Here is a 24,899-nt window from a genome sequence, read left to right as displayed (position 1 = left end):
TCAGAGGAGGGCAGAGTGGGAATGGCCTTTGGTTTAGCTCTAAGGTTCCTTTTCTAACCTCTCCGACGAGGTAAAGACTAAGGGACAAGCGCGAGGCGGCACCGAAAACAGCAAGTGAGGAAGGCGAATAAAGCCAGGCAGGTGTGAGGAGGGTCCAGATTGCAGAAGACGAGGAACGGGCTACGAATTGTGGGCGGATGCAAGGGGTGGGGAGGGCGGGCCAGGGCCTGTGGGAGCCCGAAGCACGTGCTGGCAGAGAAGCAGCGGAGGGGCTGGGCAGGGGCTAGGACCGGTTACAGAGAAAGGAGTCGGGGAGACTGGCAGGCTGGAAAGCCGGCGCAGGGAGGTCACCTTTGATGTAGACATCGTCGTCGGCGCGCATGAACCACTCATACTTGTCCAGGTAGTGGTCGTGCATGTACTTGATCATCATGAAGGACTTTTTCTGGGGAGGATAGGAGTCGTCCACACCCGGTAGCGCGATGACAGGCAGGGGTGGCGGGGGCTGGCCGGCGTTGGGGGGCTGCTGGCTGGAAAAGAACTCCACGCGGCCCGGGATGAAACGCGCCCAGGTCCGCTGCGCGGCCAGCGCGCGGCTGCCCAGGTACTTCTGCGCGGTCATCACCCCCACGTACAGGAAGTCCCGGGGTCGGGCGCTCGGGGCGGCAGCGCCCCCGTCCCCGCTGCCGTTGTGGCTACTCCCCGGCCGGCCGTCTCTCCGCTGCCCAGCCGCGCCCCCGTCCTCCTCCTCGGGCTCCCCCTCGGCCGCTGGAGCACCGGGAAGCCCCGTCGCGCCCTCAGGCTCGCGTCCTCGCCGCCGCTGCTGCAGCGGAGGTGGCTGCTGCCAGGGGCTGCTTCGAAAACTGGTGATCCCGGGTGCTGCCTCGGGCAGCGGTGGCCCCTGGAGATCCTGGCGCGCGGGGGGCGGCGACTGCTCCTGCCGTGGTCGGGACTGGGGCTGGGGGAGCGGCTGCTGAGCGCCGGCGCGGGGGCCAGCAGCAGAGCGACCGTAGTAGGAGCAGAGGCTGGAGCCACGTCTCTTCCTCTCGCTCAGCTCCGCCACCCTGGGGGCGATGAGCCAGGACGCGGCGGTGAAGCCCAGCACCAGCCCTAATGCCACGCTCATCCACGGGCGGCGAGAGCGCACAGCCATCGCGGCTGTCCCGGGCGCGGACGCTCGCTGGGCTGTCGCGGCGCGGCACGCGGTTTCCCCGGCTCACACCCGCCCCTCCTCCGCCTTTGCGCCCCCAGCCGCGGCCGCAGCCGGCCGCCTAGGCGCCGACACCGGCTGGAGGTCGAAGCGCCGCGGACGCCTCGACTGCCGCGGGCTGCAGCTGCCTGCCGGGCTCCCGCTCAGCTCTGGGCCGGGGCTCCGAGCAAGGGTCGGGAGTGAAACTTCTCCCGGCGGCGGCGGTGGCGGCAGCGGCGGCAGCAGCGGCAGCTGGAGGAGCTGCAGGAGGAGGAGGAGGAGCAGCGGCGGCGGCAACGCGTCCGCTCCTAGGCTGCCACCCTGTCAGTGGCGCGCCTGGGCCCTCCCTCCTCCCTCCTTCCCGAGCCCCCGCCCTCACTCCCGCCTCCCGCTCCCCCCGCCGCCGGGCTCCGAGCTGGCCCGGAGGAGGAGCCGCAGGCGGCACCGCTGCCAGCCGGAGAGAAGCGCGGGCCGCGGTATTTCCCCGTCACCCGCCCTTGGACGCCCCCCGTCCGCGCCTCAGTCCAGAGCCGGCCTCCTCTCCGGAAGGAAACGATCCCTGTCGGGCCGCCTCCGGCTTGCAGCGCCGACGCCCCCTCTTCCCTCCTCCCCCAGCTCTTGCTCTTCGTCCCATTTCCCGTCCCGTCCCGCCCCTCCGCTGGCCTCCCGACACTCGTGTCTGGGGGCTCTACTGGCCTCCTCCCGGCGCCTAGGCTCCGCTGACCTCATCGGCGGAGCTCGGGTCCGGGAGCCCCCAGCAAGTTCGTTGCTGTCCCACCGTGCTCTCCTCCCCCGGCCCACAGCCGGGTACGTCCTGGCGTGACCCTTACCACTCTGCCCCGCCCCAGGTCCGCCAGGGCGCCACTCTTCGCGTTTTCCGTCCTTTCCACGTTGTTCTTACCGCTGCCACTCCGCGCCTTCTCTCTCTAGTCGGTCACTTGTCAGGAAACCAAACGTCCCATCCCAGCACCTCTCCTCCCAGCCTAACTTCCCTCCTACCTGCATCGTCCACCAGCTCTCCTCAGTCCTTCACAGAAGCACCATTGTCGTTAGGGTCTCTCCTAAGAAAATCTCTGAGGGATTGGAAATACTTATCCTGAAAGGCTAAGGGAGTTGGTGGTGTGTGGGGGTTCAATCCCCAAAGAACGTAAAAATCCCATGTCCTCCACCTGTTGAGTTGGAAAATGTGGGGCTGCCTAATGGTCTCCCCCTCGGCTCTCCTGATGATATCTGTTCAAGAAATGAGAACTATGGTCTATTTTCAGTCTTGGTAGAAGATTGGCTCAGTGGGACTGGCAAATAGTGGAGAAATGGGCACACATTCACAGGGCCAATACCCTGAAGATCCAAACGAAAGAAATTCTTACCCCCACAAAATAAGTGAACTTAATCAAAAAATAAAATGGAGGATATGATTTTTATTCTTGCCTATGAACCGTTTTATTTTCTAAGGCAAAGACAGGAAAATTTTACCTCTCCAATGAGGGAGGAAAATTGTCCAGCAACAGAATCTCAAAAAAAGTTAAGCTGTATTGGCCAAAATCATTGTGCCTTAGTTACGTTAGGAAGAAATTACCTGAAGGTATATGATTTTTGAAGAAGGGAGCATTAACAAATTTCTCTCTAAAGGTTGTGCATAAAGCTATAGTCTGGGGTGCATTTGGCATCCCAAGTACTTCCTTCTCTTCAAATTTCAGTCTTCTGTTTTAGACATCAAACGCAAAGGGATGGTATTGAATGGCATTAGACATAATGGCTCGATCCAGCGAGGTGCTGGCAGCGTCCCTGGAACACTAGGCCTGCCTGGAGCCTTTGGAGGAATGGTTCTTTCCACACCGGTCCCTGGCTGTGCATGAGCACGTCTGACTAAATGTTTCATCTGCTGGACAATGAAGCTCCTTTTCCATGTCTAGGTTTTTCCCAGAGACACTTGGGAATACAGATTACTGGGCTCTCTCAAAGTTAAATTTTAGTTAGAATACAAAGCTAGTCAAACAGGCCCCTTCTGATTTTTAAATCGTCAAAGGCATTTTAAAATTTCTAGAATAGTACTATTCAATAGAACTTTCGCTATAATGGAAATTTTTTTTTATTTGTGCTGATAAGACAGTAGCCACATAAAATTATGGAGCATTGAAAGGTGACTAGTGTGATTGAAGAAATGAATTTTCATTTTATTTAATTTTAATTACTTTTTATTTAAATAGCCCCATGTGGCTAGGGGTTACCATGTAGGACAGCACATTTACAGAGGATTTCCTATTGCATATGGTCAACAGTAAAGGACAAATAAGTCCACCTACACACCAGTACCCTCTCCCCTGCAGTATTCAACTGGGCTTTATGGTAATGGATGCCATTCATATTGTTGATCTACAAAATCATTAATTCTCATTGGGCATAAATAACCCAATTCATCAACTGTTTGGAATATTTGGAGAGGAAGTTAATTTCATTCACTTATTCAACAAGTGTATATTAGAGATTAAACATTAGACAAGGTGGAAGGCTCTGGACATGGAGATGTCAACAAACTATTCAGTGCTTCCCATCATGAAGCTTATAGTGCATTGAAGAAGACACATTAAACATCACACTAGGAAATGAATTACAATGGTGATAAATGATATGAATAGAAATACAGAGTACTCTGAGAATATTTATAAGAGCATCTAATTTAGTATGGGAGTCAGGGAAGGCACTAGAAAAGATTCAGATAAAATGAAATCATTGAAGTGATATTACATATGAGACAAGTGACCTTGGGCAAGTTGTGAAAATTCTAAGTTTTTGATTTCTCATCTGTAAATTCATTTCTGTGAGGCTTTATTAATATACTATATGAAGTGCTTAACATAATGTTTAGTTCATTGTAAACACTTGGGAAATGTTCTCATTTTCTAATCCCTTCCCTTATGCTAAAACGTCTCTCTCATGGTATCTATCATCTTATTTTTATTACATTTCATCTTTTCATTTATTTAACAGATACTTATTTAGTATGTACTGTGAGGCAGACACTATCACTGAGAAAAAAAACGTAGACAAAACAAAGTCCTGACTTCATGGGACTTGTATTCTAAGAGGAGATTACACACACACACACACACACACACACACACACACACGCATGCATGTGTGTATATGAAGTATTTTTACATATAAAGAAATATCTGTAATATGTCGGTGTAAGTGTTTATTTAAAAAAAAGAGAAGGATAGTGAGTGTATTATGTGTTGGGTGAGGCCACTTAAAACTGATACGTCAGGAAAGTTCTTTCTGATACTTTTAGCAGAAAACAGAAAAAAGTGAGGAAACTAATCCTGAAGATATCTGAAATAATACTTTTCAAGGAGAAGGAGTAGCTAACACAAGTCTTTGACACAGACATGGCATATTGAGACGCAGCAGAGGCCAAAGTAGATTGGAAAAAGGAGGAAGCGGATGACTTGTTGATAATTTAGGTCAGTGCTGAATAGAATTATAATGTGAGCCACAACTGCAAGATATATAATTTAATTTTTTTCTAGAAGCCTCATTTAAAAACAGGTGAAATTGATTTTCATACTTTTTATTCAACTTAATATACCCAAAATATCGGGAGATATTTTACATCCTTTTTATTAGTACTAATTTTTCAAAACCATTGTGTGCTCATCACTTACAGCACACCTGAATTCAAACTAGCCACATTTCCAATGTTCAATAGACACAAGTGGCTAGGGACTACCATATTGGACAGTGCATATATAGATCCTTGCAGACATTCATAAAGACTTTGGCTTTTATTCCGAGTGACAATGAAGCTGTTGTGTAGAGTAGTGATCTGGTTTTTATTTATTGTTTACAAAGATCATTCTAGCTCCTATGGGGAGAAAATAAACTGCAGTGGGACAAGGGTAGAATTAGAGAAAACATTTAAATCTTTATTGAAGTGACCTCATCACTTGAGAATAGAAGGGAAAAAACAAGCCTCTTTTTTTTTTCTTCCTGCACAGTGTCTGCCCCTTTCCTTATTTGTAATAAGTAGAAGCTTTGGGAAAAGATTTTTATGTAAATTTAATTTTATATGTATTCAGATTCCTGTTATTTGTGGGTGTTATTTGTGGGCGTTTCCCAAAGTCAGTGAAGTAATTTTCTCATCTCACTTTAGTTCTGAAGATACATGACTTTTAGAGGAGGTAATTTTCTGGGAAATCTCTATCAAGAACTCACTTTTTTATTTTCAAAACATTAAGTAATAAGTTATAGGAATAATTTTTAAAAATGTCAATTGGATGTAAGGGTTGTTGAGGAGGAAATTTTCATGGAACTAACATTGAAGAAAAATAAACATAATTGCATACCAAAATATAATAAAAATCTATATACTGTGTTAGAGGAAAGAATACACAAATATAGGTAATTCTATAATAATAACTCTGGAAAAAATGTCTCATATAGTTGCTGTTCTTATCTAAGCAAGAATGTGCCAATAAGTATACTTGTGAACCATCTCATAAAATCTCTGTGAAGCACCTCTATAGTGGATTTTGAGAAAAAAGCAATAATAAAATCCTTCTAAAATTATAATAGTTTACAAAGAAAATTACAAAACTGATTTTCTGTCTTTCCTAAACCCTTTAACTATTTCAAATATGTCCATATTAGACTACAGTAACATATGAATTATTTGCCACCTTCTCTGAGCTGTAGCTACTGGAACATAAGGTATCATCTGGATTCACAGTGAAGACAGATTTCTTCTTGTAGAGATTGTGTTCCTGTGGCTTTGGAAAGACTTTAATGTCAACCACCCCAAGACAAAGTCTGCTATACTTAGCAGAGAGTCTTTGAGCAAACTGCTCTAATGGGACTACATTAGATATTAAAACTAATTGGAAAAGGTTACTAATAACTTTAAAATCACAGAAAAGGCGCAAGTGACTTTAAAGGGTGGAATCATTCTTTGATCATTTATGAAAGTAAAAGGTCAATATATACATGAATGTTCAGTTTATGCTTCTGTTACAAGGTATAATCAAGATTAGGCTTGTACTGACACTTTGAATCAGGATTTTACTAAGCTATTTTGAATGTTATCATTTTTTCTTGACAGATCAAGGCTGAGTTAATTTCATTTGTGTGAAGCAACTGTGGCATCTAGTGGTTAATAATCATAATGGTAATTCAGTTTGTTCCTAAGGGATAAATTGTGTTACAAAATATTTTTATATTGCCAAGGAGTATTATAATCAGAGGGACATAATAAGATAACAATTTGATTCTATTTTTATTTTCTCAGAAATCAGCATGAGAAGATGATCAAAATTCATATATTGAAACATGAAAAGGTAAATTATTTATGGCATATCATAAAACTATGTAAGTTTCAGAGCCTGGTATTAATCTGCATTTAATCACCATGAAAATATTCCAGTAAATTTTTTTACACTGAGCAGATTTGATGCTACCAAAGGTTTATTAATCAAGAATTACTTTTTAGGTATGATAATGCTATTGTAGCCTTGTTTTTTTATACAAAGAGTCCTTATTTTCTGAAATACATACTGAAATGTTTATAGATAAAATGGTATGATATCTGGGATTTAAATATATGGGATGGAGGGAGGTGCTAAATGGATGTAGATGTGAATAGGGTCTGATTGGCCAGGTATTGATTACTATTAGGGTAGGTAATTATCTTCAGATAAATTTGGATCTCTATAATAAAAAGATTTTTAAAAAATACTTCATTTGTTTAAGGTCAGAACATACTCTTCATTTATTTTCTGTAGATTTACCTAACCAAGATATGGTCCACTTGTTTAAACAATCAGTGAGAAGATCAATTGAGGAGGAAAGAATGAAACTCCTCCTGTCACTTAGGAAAGGGTCAAAAAGCAATCAATTGAAATAAAAACATCCACTTCTTCCAGCCCTTCTTGGCCCCATGACAGTCTGAGACATAAGCAAAATACTCGGTCAAGCTTTTACAAAGAAAAAGGGACTATTTACACATGAGAATTTTTTCGTAAGTAGTAATAGTCTCTGATTAGGTAATGGGCTGCAAAATCTCAAGTTCCTAATCACTAAACTGAATTTATGCTAAAAAAAAAAGATTTTTATTTTTAATTGCCTCCGTTCACTACTTTCCTAAAATATGAATAATCTCCAATTCAATATTTCCTATCTCGGAAAACTTAAAATAAAATGCATGTGCCACCTTCTTTCTGTTGCTTTAATTGTCAACCCTGTTAATTATTGGTTTCCTTTCCTGTCCCATAGATCTGTGCTGTTCAGTAGAGATATAATATTATCCACATATGTAATTTAAAATTTTTTAGTAGCCACATTTTACAAAGCAAGGACATGTGAAATTAATCTTACTAATATACTTTATTTTATTTTCCTTAATGTATCCAGTTCCAGTAGAGAGTAGAGTTGTGGGTATTCGAGGCTGGGAAGCATAAGGGGGAGGAGGAGGAGAACTTGCATAAAGGATTCAAAATTACAGCTAGATAGGAGGAATGAGTTTGGGTGTTCTGAAGCATCACAGGGTGAATATGGTTCATTATCATTTTTGTATATTTCCAAAAAGCTAGAAGAGAAGATTTTTGAATGTTCACAGCACAAAGAAAGGTAAAATGTTTCAGGTGATAGGTATCATATGCTAATTACCCTGATTTGATCATTATATATTATGTACATGTATTAAAATATCACTCTGTATCCCATAAATATATACAATTATTACATGTCAACTAAAACTAAACGGATGGGGGAAGCTAAAACATTTTTTAAATTAAAAAAATACCATTTCTGACTATTAAGCCTAAAAACATTTTAAATGACAGAGACAATTGGATTTCAGGATGTTTACAGGATTCATTGTGCTGCATTCCGAGATATCAACATATGAATACATTGCATATTTATACACATAAATATGTATGTATGTATGTGTTTACATACAGAAACACTATATATATGTGTGTGTGTGTATGTACATATAGAAACACACATATATACATTTCTTTATAACCACATATCATGACAAGTTAAACATAAGAGGAGAGATTAGGGGTCTTTCCTTTTCCGTAATGATTACTCTTATTTAAATTTTAGGATACCTTACTAGGATGTAGGAGAAGTTAGATACCATATCTCTCAACCCCGTGTCAAGGGGATATGGCTTAGGCTTAGCAAGTTGGGTATTCTATCTAAGATTTTGTATCTTGAGTGAATGAGACAGGAATAATTTATAATTCATCTTAAGGTGCTGCATACAGCAGTGGATTTTTATTTAAGTCTGTAGTGAACTAATAATGACACAAATATTTCAATAGTTATTTAAAGTAAGGATTTATGACTTTCAACAGAATATTGGCACCGGGAGAGCAGATTATTTTTCTGCAAGTCTTCAAAATTCTTGGGGGTGTTTGAAAATATAATTATTTTCTTTATGATGTTCTTTGAAATCAACAAGAACAAAGACACAACATACCAGAATCTCTGGGACACATTCAAAGCAGTGTGTAGAGGGAAATTTATAGCACTAAATGCCCACAAGAGAAAGCAGGAAAGATCCAAAATTGACACCCTAACATCACAATTAAAAGAACTAGAAAAGCAAGAGCAAACACATTCAAAAGCTAGCAGAAGGCAAGAAATAACTAAAATCAGAGCAGAACTGAAGGAAATAGAGACACAAAAAACCCTTCAAAAAATTAATGAATCCAGGAGCTGGTTTTTTGAAAGGATCAACAAAATTGATAGACCGCTAGCAAGACTAATAAAGAAGTAAAGAGAGAAGAATCAAATAGACGCAATAAAAAATGATAAAGGGGATATCACCACCGATCTCACAGAAATACAAACTACCATCAGAGAAGACTACAAACACCTCTACGCAAATAAACTAGAAAATCTAGAAGAAATGGATAAATTCCTCGACACATACACCCTCCCAAGACTAAACCAGGAAGAAGTTGACTCTCTGAATAGACCAATAACAGGTTCTGAAATTGTGGCAATAATCAATAGCTTACCAACCAAAAAGAGTCCAGGACCACATGGATTCACAGCCGAATTCTACGAGAGGTACAAGGAGGAACTGGTACCATTCCTTCTGAAACTATTCCAATCAATAGAAAAAGAGGGATTCTTCTCTAACTCATTTTATGAGGCCAGCATCATCCTGATACCAAAGCCTGGCAGAGACACAACCAAAAAAGACAATTTTAGACCAATATCCTTGATGAACAGTGATGCAAAAATCCTCAATAAAATACTGGCAAACCGAATCCAGCAGCACATCAAAAAGCTTATCCACCATGATCAAGTGGACTTCATCCCTGGGATGCAAGGCTGGTTCAATATATGCAAATCAATAAATGTAATCCAGCATGTAAACAGAACCAAAGACAAAAACCACATGATTATCTCAATAGATGCAGAAAAGGCCTTTGACAAAATTCAACAACCTTCATGCTAAAAACTCTCAATAAATTAGGTATTCATGGGACGTATCTCAAAATAATAAGAGCTATCTATGACAAACCCACAGCCAGTATCATACTGAATGGGCAAAAACTGCAAGCATTCCCTTTGAAAACTGGCACAAGACAGGGATGCCCTCTCTCACCACTCCTATTCAACATAGTGTTGGAAGTTCTGGCCAGGGCAATTAGGCAGGAGAAGGAAATAAAGGGTATTCAATTAGGAAAAGAGGAAGTCAAATTGTCCCTGTTTGCAGATGACATGATTGTATATCTAGAAAACCCCATTGTCTCAGCCCAAAATCTCCTTAAGCTGATAAGCAACTTCAGCAAAGTCTCGGGATACAAAATCAATGTACAAAAATCACAAGCATTCTAATACACCAATAACAGACAAACAGAGAGCCAAATCATGAGTGAACTCCCATTCACAATTGCTTCAAAGAGAATAAAATACCTAGGAATCCAACTTACAAGGGATGTGAAGGACCTCTTCGAGGAGAACTACAAACCACTGCTCAAGGAAATAAAAGAGGATACAAACAAATGGAAGAACATTCCATGCTCATGGGTAGGAAGAATCAATATCTTGAAAATGGCCATACTGCCCAAGGTAATTGATAGATTCAATGCCATCCCCATCAAGCTACCAATGACTTTCTTCACAGAATTGGAAAAAACTACTTTAAAGTTCATATGGAACCAAAAAGAGCCCACATCGCCAAGTCAATCCTAAGCCAAAAGAACAAAGCTGGAGGCATCATGCTACCTGACTTCAAACTATACTACAAGGCCACAGTAACCAAAACAGCATGGTACTGGTACCAAAACAGAGATATAGATCAATGGAACAGAACAGAGCCCTCAGAAATAGCATTGCATATCTACAACTATCTGATCTTTGACAAACCTGAGAAAAGCAATGGGGAAAGGATTCTCTATTTAATAAAAAGTGCTGGGAAAACTGGCTAGCCATATGTAGAAAGCTGAAACTGGATCCCTTCCTTACACCTTATACAAAAATTAATTCAAGATGGATTAAAGACTTAAACATTAGACCTAAAACCATAAAACCCCCAGAAGAAATCCTAGGCATTACCATTCAGGACATAGGCATGGGCAAGGACTTCATGTCTAAAACACCAAAAACAATGGCAACAAAAGCCAAAATTGACAAATGGGATCTAATTAAACTAAAGATTTTCTGCACAGCAAAAGAAACTACCATCAGAGTGAACAGGCAACCTACAAAATGGGAGAAAATTTTCACAACCTACTCATCTGACAAAGGGCTAATATCCAGAATCTACAATGAACTCAAACAAATTTACAAGAAAAAAACATCCCCATCAAAAAGTGGGCGAAGGACATGAACAGACACTTCTCAAAAGAAGACATTTATGCATCCAAAAAACACATGAAAAAATGCTCACCATCACTGGCCATCAGAGAAATGCAAATCAAAACCACAATGAGATACCATCTCACACCAGTTAGAATAGCAATCATTAAAAAGTCAGGAAACAACAGATGCTGGAGAGGAAGTGGAGAAATAGGAACATTTTTACACTTTTGGTGGGACTGTAAACTAGTTCAACCATTGTGGAAGTCGGTGTGGCGATTCCTCAGGGATGTAGAACTAGAAATACCATTTGACCCAGCCATCCCATTACTGGGTATATACCCAAAGGACTATAAATCTTGCTGCTATAAAGACACATGCACACATATGTTTATTGAGGCACTATTCACAGTAGCAAAGACTTGGAACCAACCCAAATGTCCAACAATGATAGACTGGATTAAGAAAATGTGGCACATATACACCATGGAATACTATGCAGCCATAAAAAATGATGAGCTCATGTCCTTTGTAGGGACATGGATGAAATTGGAAATCATCATTCTCAGTAAACTATCGCAAGGACAAAAAACCAAACACTGCATGTTCTCACTCATAGGTGGGAATTGAACAATGAGAACACATGGACACAGGAAGGGGAACATCACACTCTGGCGATTGTTGTGGGGTGGGGGGAGGGGGGAGGGATAGGTTTAGGAGATATACCTAATGCTCAATGACGAGTTAATAGGTGCGGCACACCAGCATGGCACATGTATACATGTGTAACTAACCTGCACATTGTGCACATGTACCCTAAAACTTAAAGTATAATATTAATAAAATAAAATTAAAAAAAGAAAATATAATTATTTTCACAATCTTATTTAATCATGTTAACATGTGTTAGGTTTGTTATTTTAAATGAAATAATAAATGTTTAATTTTATCTCATTTTAAATTTATCATGCAATATATGCTTGAGATCCCTTAAGAACAAAATGTTTGAGATTGCTAGTCTAAAGAAATTCCTTACTTTAGTTTTTTTTCTGCTAGAAGTACCAAAAAAAATTACCTAGGAAAAATTAACAAGAGTTAGAATTTCCTGTCCTGGCCATGCGCGGTGGCTGATGCCTGTAATCCCAGCACTTTGGAAAGCTGAGGCAGGTGGATCACCTGAGGTCAGGAGCTCGAGACCAGCCTGGCCAACATGGCAAAACCCCATCTCTACTGAAAATACAAAAATAGCTGGGTGTGGTGGCACATGCCTGTAGTCCCAACTACTCAGGAGGCTGAGGCAGGAGAATCGCTTGAACCCGGGAGGCGGAGGTTGCAGTGAGCCGAGATACCGCCACTGCACTCCAGCATGGGTGACAGAGTGAGACTCCATCTCAAAAGAAAAATAATAAAAATAATAATAGTAAAATAATTTTCTGTCCGTGATGGAACATCAATAGTGGGGTGACATATAGAGTAACTGGCCATGAATTTGCATTTTTGAACTTTGAATTTTTTTTTAAATTACACTTTAAGTTCTGGGATACATGTGCAGAATGTGAAGGTTAGTTACATATGTATACACGTGCCATGGTGGTTTGCTGCACCCATCAACCTGTCATCTACATTAGGTATTTCTCCTAATGCTATCCCTCCCCAAGCCCCACAACCCCCACAACAGTCCCCAGTGTGTGATGTTCTCCTCCCTGTGTCCATGTGTTCTCATTGTTCAACTCCCACTTGTGAGTGAGAACATGTGGTGTTTGGTTTTGTGTTCTTCTGGTTAGTTTGCTGATAATGGCAGTTTCCAGCTTCATCCGTGTCCCTGCAAAGGACATGAACTCATCCTTTTTATGGCTGAATAGTATTTCATGGTGTATATGTGCCACATTTTCTTTATCCAATCTATCATTGATAGGCATTTGGGTTGTCTGCAAGTCTTTGCTGTTGTGAACAGTGCTGCAATCAGCATATGTGTGGATGTGTCTTTATAGTAGAATGATTTATAATCCTTTGGGTATATGCCCAGTTATGGCATTGCTGGGTCAAATGATATTTCTGGTTCTAGATCCTTGAGGAATCGCCACACTGTCTTCCACAATGATTCAACTAATTTACACTCCCACCAACAGTGTAAAAGCATTCCTATTTCTCCACATCCTCTCCAGCATCTGTTGTTTCCTGACTTTTTAATGATCGCCATTCTAACTGGTGTGAGATGGTATCTCATTGTGGTTTTGATTTGCATTTCTGTAATGACCATTGATGATAAGCTTTTTTTCATATGTTTGTTGGCCATACAAATGTCTTCTTTTGAGAAGTGTCTCTTCATATCCTTTGCCCATTTTTTGATGGGGTTTTTTTTCTTGTAAATTTGTTTAAGTTATTTGTAGATTCTGGATATTAGCTCTTTGTCAGATGGATAGATTGCAAAAATTTTCTCCTATTCTGTAGGTTGCCTGTTCACTCTGATGATTTTTTTTTCTTTTTTTTTTTTTTTGCTGTGCAGAAGCTCTTTAGTTTAATTAGATTTCATTTGTCACTTTTGGCTTTTTTTGCCATTGTTTTTGGGTTTTAGTCATGAAGTCTTTACCCATGCATATGTCCTGAATGGTATCGCCTAGGTTTTCTTCTAGGGTGTGTATGGTTTTAGGTCTTACATTTAAGTCTTTCATCCATCTTGAGTGGATTTTTGTATAAGGTGTCAGGAAGGGGCCCAGTTTCAGTTTTCTGCATATGGGTAGCCAGTTTTCCCAGCACCATTTATTAAATAGGGAATCCTTTCCCCATTGCTTGTTTTTGTCAGGTTTGTCAAAGATCAGATGATTGTAGATGTGTGGTGTTGTTTCTGAGGCCTCTGTTCTGTTCCATTGGTCTACATATCTGTTTGGTACCAGTATCATACTGTTTTAGTTACTGTAGCCTTGTAGTATACTTTGAAGTCACAATAATAGTGGGAGACTTTAACACCCCATTGTCAATATTAGACAGATCAAAGAGACAGAAAATTAACAAGGATATTCAGGACTTGAACTCAGCTCTGGACCAAGCGGACCTAATAGACATCTATAGAACTCTCCACCCCAAATCAAAAGAAGATACATTCTTCTCAGTGCCTCATTGGACTTATTCTAAAATTGACCACATAATTGGAAGCAAAACACCCTCAGCAAATGCAAAAGAATGGAAATTATAACAACCTGTGTCTCAGACCACAGTGCAAGCAAATTAGAACTCAGGATTGAGGAACTCACTCAAAACTGCACAACTGCATGGAAACTGAACAACCTACTCCTGAATGACTACTGGGTAAATAACAAAATGAAGGTAGAAATAAAGACGTTCTTTGAAACCAATGAGAACAAAGACACAATGTGCCAGAATCTCTGGGACACATTTAAAGCAGTGTGTAGAGGAAAATTTATAGCACTAAATACCCACAAGGGAAAGCAGGAAAGATGTAAAATAGCCACCCTAACATCACAATTAAAAGAACTAGAAAAGCAAGAGCAAACAAATCCAAAAGCTAGCAGAAGACAAGAAATAACTAAAATCAGATCAGAACTGAAAGAGATAGAGACACGAAAAACCCTTCAAAATAATAAATGAATCCAGGAGCTGTTTTTTTTTAATAATAAAATAGACCGCTAGCCAGACTAATAAAGAAGAAAAGAGAGAAGAATCAAATAGACACAATAAAAAATGATAAAGGGGATATTACCACTGATCCGACAGAAATACAAACTACCACAAGAAAATGCTGTAAACACCTCCATACAAATAAACTAGGAAATCTAGAAGAAATGGATAAATTCCTGGACACATACACCCTCCCAAGACTAAACCAGGAAGAAGTCAAATCCCTGAATCGACCAATAACGAGTTCTGAAATTGAGGCAGTAATTAATAGCCTACCAACCAAAAAAAGCACAGGACCAGAGGATTCACAGCTGAATTCTACCAGAGGTACAAAGAGGATCTGGTACCATTCCTTCTGAAACTATTCCAAACAATAGAAAAAGAGGGATTCCTCCATAACTCATTTTGTGAGGCCAGCATCATCCTGATACCAAAACCTGGCAGACACACAACAGAAAAAAAGAAAATTTCAGGCCAATATCTCTGATGAACACCAATGTGAAAATCCTCAATAGAATAGTGGCAAACCGAATCCAACAGCACATCAAAAATCTTATCCACCATGATCAAATCGGCTTCATCCCTGGGATGCAAAGCTGGATCAACATATGCAAATCAATAAACTTAATCCCTCACATAAACAGAATGAATGACAAAAACCACATGATTATCTCAATAGATGCTGAAAACACCTTAGATAAAATTCAACACCCCTTCATGCTAAAAATCCTCAATAAACTAGGTATTGATGGAATGTATCTCAAAATAATAAGAGCTATTTATGACAAACCCACAGCCAATATCATACTGAATGCACAAAAGGTGGAAGCATTCCCTTTGAAAACTGGCACAAGAAAAGGGTGCCCTCTCTCACCACTCCTGTTCAACATAGCATTGGAAGCTCTGGCCAGGGCAATCAGGCAAGAGAAAGAAATAAAGTGTATTCAAATAGGAAGAGAGAAAGTCAAATTGTCTCTCTTTCCAGATGACTTGATTGTATATTTAGAAAACCCTATCATCTCAGCCCAAAATGTCCTTAAGCTGATAAGCAACTTCAGCAAAGTCTCAGGATACAAAATCAATGTGTGAAAATCACAAGCATTCCTATACTCCAATAATAGGGAGCCAAATAATGAGTGAACTCCCATTCACAATTGCTACAAAGAGAATAAAATACCTAGGAATACAACTTACAAGGGATGTGAAGGACCTCTTCAAGGAGAACTACAAACCACTGCTCAAGGAAATGAGAGAGGACACAAACAACTGGAAAAACATTCCATAAGCATGGATACCAAAAATCGATACCATAAAAATGGCCATACTGCCCAAAGTAATTTATAGATTTGATGCTGTCCCCATCAAGCTACCATCAACTATCTTCACAGAGTTAGAAAAAACTACTTTAAGTTTCATATGGAACAAAAAAAGAGCCCGTATAGGCAAGACAATCCTAAGCAAGTGAAATGTTTTTAAGTACATGATTGTCTCCATGTTTCTAGAGTCACACCTATTGTTTTTTAGGAATCCAGTAGTTTGAATGAATCGTCTGAGACCAATATAATTTAAATTTTTCAAGACTTCTCTAATTTATATACAGTAACAAATTAATACCTTTAACAATTTGGGGAATATACTTCTCATTTCTACAAAAATAAGCTCCAGGATAGTGCGTTACTCTGAAGTTCCAATCATTTTATATTATTCCATCAAAGAAATAATGTCTTGATTAGTTAATTCTATAGTTGGACAATCATAAAATTTAGTGAGGAAGGAAGATAACCTTGCCATACCAATAAAGTTGAAGGAGCAATTATTTTCCTTTTGATGCCAATTGGAGCTCTAGGAATAGAAGGAATGCTAACTCCAAATTAAATTTTGTGAGTATGAAAAAAGTAAAATTGCACGCATAAGTTAAATTCTAGAAGAATTTACAAGTGGTCATCATCTAGAAAATGCAACAACACTATCGTGCAGGATCCATAGTATGGGGTGGAGAATGGTGATGATGCTTTCTCTCACTGGGCCCCTGTGGCCTTATCTCTGAGTTTTTATTAGGCAGAAAGAGGACAAGAAGAATAGCTTCAAGCCAAGAATAAGAGCAAATATTATAAGTTAGGGTGAAGCACTACATTCTTTAGACCCCCACTGAAGCTTTGCTCACCCTCCATTCTACAACACACATTATTTTTGTTCCAGACTGCTCTCCCCATGTCGACCTTTACAGAAAAGCAGACAGGAATAAAACAGTGCCATCTGAATCAGATTAAAATTAAATCTAGGTTTTAGTATTAGCAGCACAGCATTAGGATTCCAGGACACAGTACAGTCATCCAAGTCATCTGAAACCTTCTTGTATGCATGCAGAACCCAGTTGGCCATGACGGTATACAAATAATTAAAACGTTGGCACCTAGGTCAGTGTTTTTCAAAGTGGAATATTACATAAGTATTTCTAATGCTTTTTTGTGGCATAACTATTAATAGTAAATCTGAAATCCTACTGAATTAGAATCTCTGAAGGTAGGGGCCAGGAATCCACATTTATAACACAATAAATGTGAATTAGAAATGCTAAGCAATTCTTAAGCATACTAGAGCTTGTGAACTACTGTTTAAATCTTCTTGATAACTTGATAATTCAAAGTCCTAACAGCATACTTTAAGTTAATATAAAAACTAATATGAAAAGCAAAACTATTATACCCTTCTACTTACATTTACCAATCTCAAAAACATGGATTGATGGCTAAAATCCTAGGTTCTCCAGTACAGAACAAAATTACCTTCATTTAATTTTGTTTTCAAATTGAATATATGTATATTTCCCTAACTCTTGGTTTGAATTACTCATAAAGCAGACTTTGAGATAAGGATGTGAGAATAAGTTGTTTATTTGTAAAGTGATCCCAGGGAATACTGGTATAAAAGTTGAAAAGTGTAAAAGGAAAACTAAGGGAAGAAAAGTAGCCAAAAAAGGATAAATTCTGAAGCCAGTTACCATTGTAGATAATAGAGCATAACTCTGCTTGGGAAATTCTGGTAGTCAGTGTAGGCCATGGCCCTTAGACTTATCGACTGGAAAAGAAGTTGGGATATTTATACACAAACACCTTCATTCATCATCCTAGGGGACACTATCTTGTATTGTGGCACTTGTAGCCAGCCCCTTGCACAGTCAGACTGCGCTCCACCTGCCAGAGGAAGCCCCTCAGTGAAGAGTTAAAAGGGCTGGTAATTGCAAGATAGAGCATTAGCAAACACTGAAGTGGTAAGGAGAGGAGATGTGGGTAGGACCCTGGTAGCCTCTGCTCTAACCCACTAATTGAAAGTGATATTCACTCCTAAAGCAAATTTCTATACTACTACAGATATAAACCATGTAAGTAACCCTTAATACACCAAGTGAATTTTCAAAAAATGTGCCTTGCAAATTCAGAGTTCTGTAAATTGAGGAATGTATCTTATGTATACAATCCACTTTATGGGACTATTGGGGCTGCTGATGTTTTCCCTGTTGCCACTTCCTATTGAACTACCAGAATTCATGGTAGGGGACCACTACTGCCATCATACCATGTCTTATTTTGGGGGATTCCCTTTGACTATTAAAAAAAATTACCAGGGAATATTTCAAACATATGCAAAGTATATAGACTAGAACTCTCTGTACAGTTCATCCAACTTCAACTCGTGACCAATTTTATCTATATCACCACCGGCTTGATCCCTAATGGATTATTTTAAAGCAAATCACAAATGCAATATCATTTATATATTAATATTTCAGTATGTATCTCTAAAAGATAGGGACTTTAAAATAACCAAATTTCATGACCTTACAAAATACCCAAGAAACATTTCCTAATATTATTAAATATTATTCAAATTCCCAACAGTCTCATCAGTTCCATATTTTCACAATAGTCTCATCAATTCCCTATAATCAGTATTGTTTTATATGCTTCTCAAGCTTCTCTAGTAGGTTATGCCTCTATGTCTTTGTCTTTTTTTTATATTATATTTAGTTAAAAAGAAAAAACTGGGTCATTTGCCCTATGGGGTTTCCTACAACCTGAGATTTTGCAGATTCCACCCCTGTGGTGTCATTTATCACACGTCTCTATGTTCTGTATGCCCTGTGAGTTGGTAAGTTGGTATAGGGTGTAGAGAATTGCCAATACAAGTTTACTTTTTTCTTCTTGAACCAAAGGACTTCATAGACAGCTTTATGTTCTTTCAGAAGGAGACATGTAATATTTGTCTATTTCTGATGTAAGCAGCTGTTTATAATTAATTCCTATATTCATCAATTCATTTGAAGTTGCAAATGGCAATATTCTAATTCTACCATTGTTCTTCCTTGTTTCTGAAATACTTCTATAAAGAGAAAACTTACTATTATCTAGTGGTACAATATGGATAAAAATAAGATAAATAGGTCTTTCCTTTTACTCTTAGTTTTTGGTGATCTAGAGATTTGAAAAAATGATTAATACCAATGTCTATGCTCAGTTCCTTAGAAGACCTTGCTAAGTAAAACTAATTGAAATAATCCCAAAATGGAAGCTTATTTACACTAGAAGCAATCTTATTTTCTGCTATGTAATCCCTAATCATATCACTAATATTTCAGCCTACACATCAAGACATAAGTTATGGCTGTGAGAAGAAAAAGAAGCTATATTTTCCCATTTTTACTTTTTTATTCGTTAGGTGGTATTTATTGACCTTTTAAAATTTGGAAACATGTAGGCTATGAAGGTAAGGTAGAAAGCTGGACATATATATATATATATATATATATATATATATATATATATATATATGGAGAGAGAGAGAGAGAGGTACACACACAGTTCCTAGCCATCTGGAACTTCTGGTATATTATATATGAATTATTTATGAATCGTAGGAAATTGTGCTCAAAAAGAGTTCAGTGGGATTGAATTTGGGAAAGGAAAAAACCTGCTAAACATGGTTCTTTTATACAGTGAGTGTTTATATAGTCATTTTCTATGTGGTTTTGGCTTCAGCTGGGGTTTGCTGTCTTTTCCTGTCTGTATTGATGCCCCTTTTCTTCTTAGGTTATTCATTAATGATACAGTGATGTCGGACATCAAGAGACCTACATTGCAGTCCATGCTTGTAGGGTTGCTACAATATCTGTGAAACTTTCATAGAAAATTCAACTCTGCTAATCATTTATTCACCAGTAAAAATAGGGGTATTGGGCTAGAATAGAGGTGAACAAACTATAGCCCATAGGCTAAATCCAGACCATCACCTGATTTTGTATGGCCTACAAGTTAAGAATGATTTTTACATCTTAAAATGGTTTTACATTTTTAAATTGTTACATTTTAAATATTATGTAAGTACCCACACAATATCCTCAATTTTGCCATTTGGCCTGCAATACCTAAAATATTTAATATTTGGCTTTTTAAATAAAAGTTCACCAATCCCTGGCTACAGCAGTGATTTTTAATCTGTTTTCAGTAGCGGAACTTTAAAAAAGAGAAAAGAATTATGATACAAACTCCTCTGCTTAAAACAAATAAATTGTACATTTACTTAAATCAATTTAAAGTTGTTAATAATTGCTTACTAAAAAATTCAGTGAGGAACAATGAGGTTTGATGAACATGATAGACGTAAGGAAGGAACAATTTTGACATTGAGGATTGTAGATAGCAATTGCAGTCTTAAAGAAGATACAGCCTACAATTTATTCCTGTGGATATTTTTGTTAGACTAGTTCAAATATAAAATCCTGCATCAAGTAGATAAGTGATTATAAATAGTAGCATTTTTTTAACAACTCACCTTGCCATCTGAGGACACTCTGAAATTAAACTGATCCAAATTCTTTAAAAATAAGTAGAAAATTTTGATTTTACTTACAACATCCAAGAAGAGCTCTCGTAATCAAAAAAATAGTAATTAGACAAGAAGCATCGACAATTGGAAATAAGAGATAAAGCTGTCTATATTTCAACACTTTATGTTTTCTGTTTTTTTTTTTTTTTTTTTTTTTGAGGTGGAGTCTGGCTCTGCCGCCCAGGCTGGAGCGCAGTGGTGCGAACTCGGCTCACTGCAAGCTCCGCCTCCCGGGTTCACGCCATTCTCCTGCCTCAGCCTCCTAGTAGCTGGGACTACAGGCACCCGCCACCACGCCCGGCTAATTTTTTGTATTTTTGGTAGAGACGGGGTTTCACCGTGTTAGCCAGGATGGTCTCGATCTACTGACCTCGTGATCCGCCCGCCTTGGCCTCCCAAAGTGCTAGGATTACAGGTGTGAGCCATCGCGCCCGGCCAACACTTTATGTTTTCTTGTCATTGCATCACTGAGGAGCAGGCAACCAACAGATCAATTTGCTGCTTTAATTTTATGTTAGTGGATATAAGCAAGCTTGAATTTAAAAGATATCAGTGAAAAACAACAGCCTTCTTGCTTAATGGTTCCTTAACATAATGTTCAAGTATGTGCATAAATATGACAGTTGCAGCTTTATTCTGAAGTTCAAGAAGAAACAGGTAACTTTAAATTACAATGGGATTAAAGTTAGTATAATTTGGCATTATATTTTATGAGAGATTAGATTAAAAGCAAGGTGAAAATTGGGTTGAGTGAAAATTACCCTTGAAAACTCCTTATTTGCCTATAAAGTAGATTATACATGGTTTTGGATATGTATATCTTTATGTAATGCATTTTATGCCACTTAAGTTTGAGGACTACGGAACTAGACTAAGAGGAAAGAATATATTCATATGTCTGAGAATTCTGCCCTTAAAATAACCTACTACACCCTTGCAGTGAGTACAGGGTGGGTAGAGAATTCAGAAATACTCCTTGTGTTCAATGTTTATCTTCCACTGACATTCTTTAATAGCTTTGCAAATTGTTGTGTGGATTAAGTTAGTTAAACAAGATGAACACCCCCAGCATAAGGTCTGGAAAACAGAAAGTGCTTAATAGATATTCCCTATATTTGAATATGACTGAAATATACACTCACACACATTTACATAGAAAAATGTGATTTCTTTTTTTTTTCTTGAGAGGGAGTCTCGCTCTGTCACTCAGGCTGGAGTGCAGTGGCTCGATCTCCGCTCACTGCAAGCTCCGCCTCCCGGGTTCAAGCCATTCTCCTGCCTCAGCCTCCCGAGTAGCTGGGACTACAGGCGCTCGCCATCACGCCCGGCTAATTTTTTTGTATTTTTGGTAGAGATGGGGTTTCACCGTGTTAGCCAGGATGGTCTCTATCTCCAGACCTCGTGATCCGCCGTCCTCAGCCTCCCAAAGTGCTAGGATTACAGGCGTGAGCCACCGCACCCAGCCGAAAAATGTGATTTCCTGGTCCATCTGCCTAGTGGCCTTTGCTCTTTGACTCCACCCATCATCTAGTCCCCTTTTCATTTATTTGGCAAAGATTTACTGAGCACTTGCTTTGTGGTCCTGTTCTAAGTGCTGGGATTTCATTAAACAAAACAGATCAAATTCTCTCACCCTTGTCTTGGGGAGCTACACACTGGTGGGGAGTGGCAGACAATAAAATGAAACATATTTTAACTTTGTACAGTACATGGTGGCTCACGCCTCTAATCTCAGTACTTTGGGAGGCCGAGGCAGGCAGATCACGCAGTCAAGGGGGATCAAGACCATCCTGGCTAACATGGTAAAACCCTGTCTCTACTAAAAGTACAAAAGTTAGCTGGGCATGGTGGGGCACGCCTGTAGTCCCAGCTACTCGGGAGGCTGAGGCAGGAGAATCTCTTGAACCGGGATGCGGAGGTTGCAGTGAGCCGAGATGGCGCCATTGCACTCCAGCCTGGCGACAGAGCTAGACCCTGTCTCAAAAAAAAAGAAAAGAAAAGAAAAGAAAACATAAGACAGAGAAGTGGGTTAAGAACTTAGGGATAGGGAGGCAGTTGTTAAAGATGTGGTCAGGAAAGGTCTCATTAAGAAGATCACATATGAGCAAATACTTGAAGGAGGTGAGGAAGCAAAACGCTGTGATTCCTGTGGAGGGAGCATTCCAGGCAGATGGAAGCGTGATATGTGCCAGAAGCAGCAAGGAGGCTGGGATGGCTGAAGGGGAGTGTAGTAAGGGGAATGTCATAAAAGATGAGGTTAGCAAGGTAAGGGATATGCCCTGTAGCACCTGTTGGCCAATGTAAGGCTTTCACTTGGAGTGAGATGGGAAGCCATTGCAGAGATTTGAGCAGAGGAGGCCTCTGACCTCGCTTAAGTTTTAACACACATTCCTCCCGAATGGGCCTCATGGAGTAACATCTTATGTGATAGGTTCTCAAATTAAGTTTTAAGCTACACACACATTTCTTCACAATATAAAACTTTTAGGTTTACCTGCTATTTTTTCATTACAGCATTAAAAATAGCCAAAAACACTATTTTTGAATGAATTCCAATCAAACATTTCTGGAACCCCTAAGACCCCACCTGTGGACCCACAGAACATAGGCTGATGTCTCCTGAGTTAGATGAGCTTAAAAACTCTTCTAGTTCAATGTTCTGTGTAATCCTCAGTCTCAGAATGCCAGATAAGTTGGCCTGACTTAGTTTCCAGCTATAGGTATTTATGTCTGACCTCTTTAGTTCGTTCTCTAGCTGTTTTTAAATAGTTATTCTTCTTTTCCTGCAAATGGCATCTCCTTATTCCTTCATCTAGCTGCTGATTAGGGATCCTCCTGGCATTTATTTTGGGCATTATCTCCAACTCATTGGAGCTTAGATGTATTTGATTAATAGCACTTCAAGATGGCTAAAGTTGATGAGATTTTCTTGTCACTTGCTATATTATTTCAGAGGTATCATTAATGAAACTGTTAAGTCAAGCTACAGATCATGGTTATGTATGTGTGACAGGAATATTGTTGTTGCTGGGTTTTTTTCAGATAATAGTTTGTATTTATCTTCAGTTTTTCTCCTTCTTCCTCCTATTTCAAGCTGGTAGCCAGACCGTTTATATTTCCTTGCTCCCAGCCTCTTTTGCTCTTTGCAGAGCTGGAAGTAGAGTCCTCCTGAGGACAACAGCTGTTTCTATCTATTGAAAAAAGTATTAGCTCATGGATGAGAGCATTTTGGCTATCCCAGCAGGTAAGGGGAGAGTGGAGAAAGGAGTGAGACCTTTGAAGCCAGGCAGTGATGACATTTCTAGTTTCTAAAAGGGGACCAAGATCTGTGCGTCCCATAATGTTTGGTGACTTGAGTCCCTCTAGTAGCAGCCTCCAGGGATTTGGTACCCTAGACACAGTGGTCCCACCTCAACAAAAACCCAGGACACCCAATAGAAAGAGCAGAGAGAGTCACTAGACCAGAAGGTACCATGCATAAAGGAGTGATGGATATATTAGCAGAAACCACTGAGGACCCATATCCTTTGAAGCATCTCAGATACTTGATCCTGTGCAAAACCCTAAGACTTTAAATAGCCCTGATGGGAAGATGTATCCTAGAAATGTCTGAGATTTGATTTCATACTGTCCCCTCAAAATAGAGGACTGAAGATGAACTTAAGAAGACTTAAAAAAATAAATGTTGCATGGCATATATATTGAATATGTAGACCAAGACTTATGGCATCCACAATCTTCTCTCCCTCAGGCAATAATGACCTAGAAATTTTTTAAAAATAAGCTCTCTTTCCCAATGACACTTCCTTTTTACATAAAATGTTAATTAAGTGCTTGCCGTTGCTTCAAGTTCTTGTAACTTCTGAACGTATTTCATTAAACATGATTCTTAGAAATCACATTTATTCAGCTAAAGAATATGAATAAATCTGACATTCATCCTATAGAAATTTTTCACTCTGATTTGATACTCTGAGGAAGTTACAAGAGTTAGGATGCATAAGATATTAGATTATTTTAAAAATATTATCACCATATGCTAAAATACTAAATCAGACTAATGTCTAATTTCATCCATTTAAATATATTTAATCCTTAAAATTTGATACTTAGATGTGATGTCATTACATTTTAGCCTAGACATGTGAATTTTGTACATTATTCCTGTAATAGCAGTGCAGTTGGATACATAATTTATCTTTAAAAGGTCTGATGACTTAGACATAATGTGAACTTTGGCAATTTGCATTTGTCTTTGCTTCTATTAACTGAAAAATGAAGATAAAATTTACCTCATGATGTTTTTGTGAAATTTTATGTGGTGTTTTGTGCTTTAAACAAGTTTAGTAATTCACAAGGTCGAATGTTA

General features: G+C 39.4%; 1 protein-coding gene and 1 long non-coding RNA gene across 7 annotated transcripts in view, besides 1 other annotated feature; one reads left to right on the top strand and one right to left on the bottom strand.

Annotated features, from left to right (window-relative positions):
• The window catches only part of CHSY3 (chondroitin sulfate synthase 3), a 282,656-nt gene extending 280,652 nt beyond the window's left edge, over positions 1–2,004 (bottom strand). For 5 of the 6 annotated variants that reach the window (XM_011543365.4, NM_175856.5, XM_005271982.5 and 2 more), the window contains exon 1: positions 352–1,518. In XM_011543365.4, the coding sequence (XP_011541667.1) occupies positions 352–1,153 (802 nt within the window). In that variant the 5' untranslated portion in view covers positions 1,154–1,518. Of the gene's footprint in view, positions 1–351; positions 1,519–1,913 lie in introns of those variants that run through there. The other variant, XM_011543363.4, reaches the window with a different exon arrangement.
• Positions 56–20,118, top strand: CHSY3-AS1 (CHSY3 antisense RNA 1). Its single transcript, XR_002956248.2, has 3 exons — positions 56–141; positions 6,474–6,522; positions 19,735–20,118. It is a non-coding gene; the product is annotated as a CHSY3 antisense RNA 1 (long non-coding RNA).
• Positions 1,151–1,360: a silencer, noted in NCBI's record as "silent region_16299". NCBI's record gives its function as "represses an Ori minimal core promoter by ATAC-STARR-seq in GM12878 lymphoblastoid cells {active_cell/tissue: GM12878}" and the evidence as "EXISTENCE:reporter gene assay evidence [ECO:0000049][PMID:35858748]".
• Positions 20,119–24,899: the final 4,781 nt, after the last annotated feature.

The sequence above is a fragment of the Homo sapiens genome, chromosome 5 (assembly GCF_000001405.40).
Source record: "Homo sapiens chromosome 5, GRCh38.p14 Primary Assembly".
NCBI classification, from domain to species: Eukaryota; Metazoa; Chordata; class Mammalia; order Primates; family Hominidae; genus Homo; species Homo sapiens.
The sequence above is the reverse complement of the archived record's forward strand: the minus strand, read 5'-3'. Positions and strand labels throughout refer to the sequence as shown.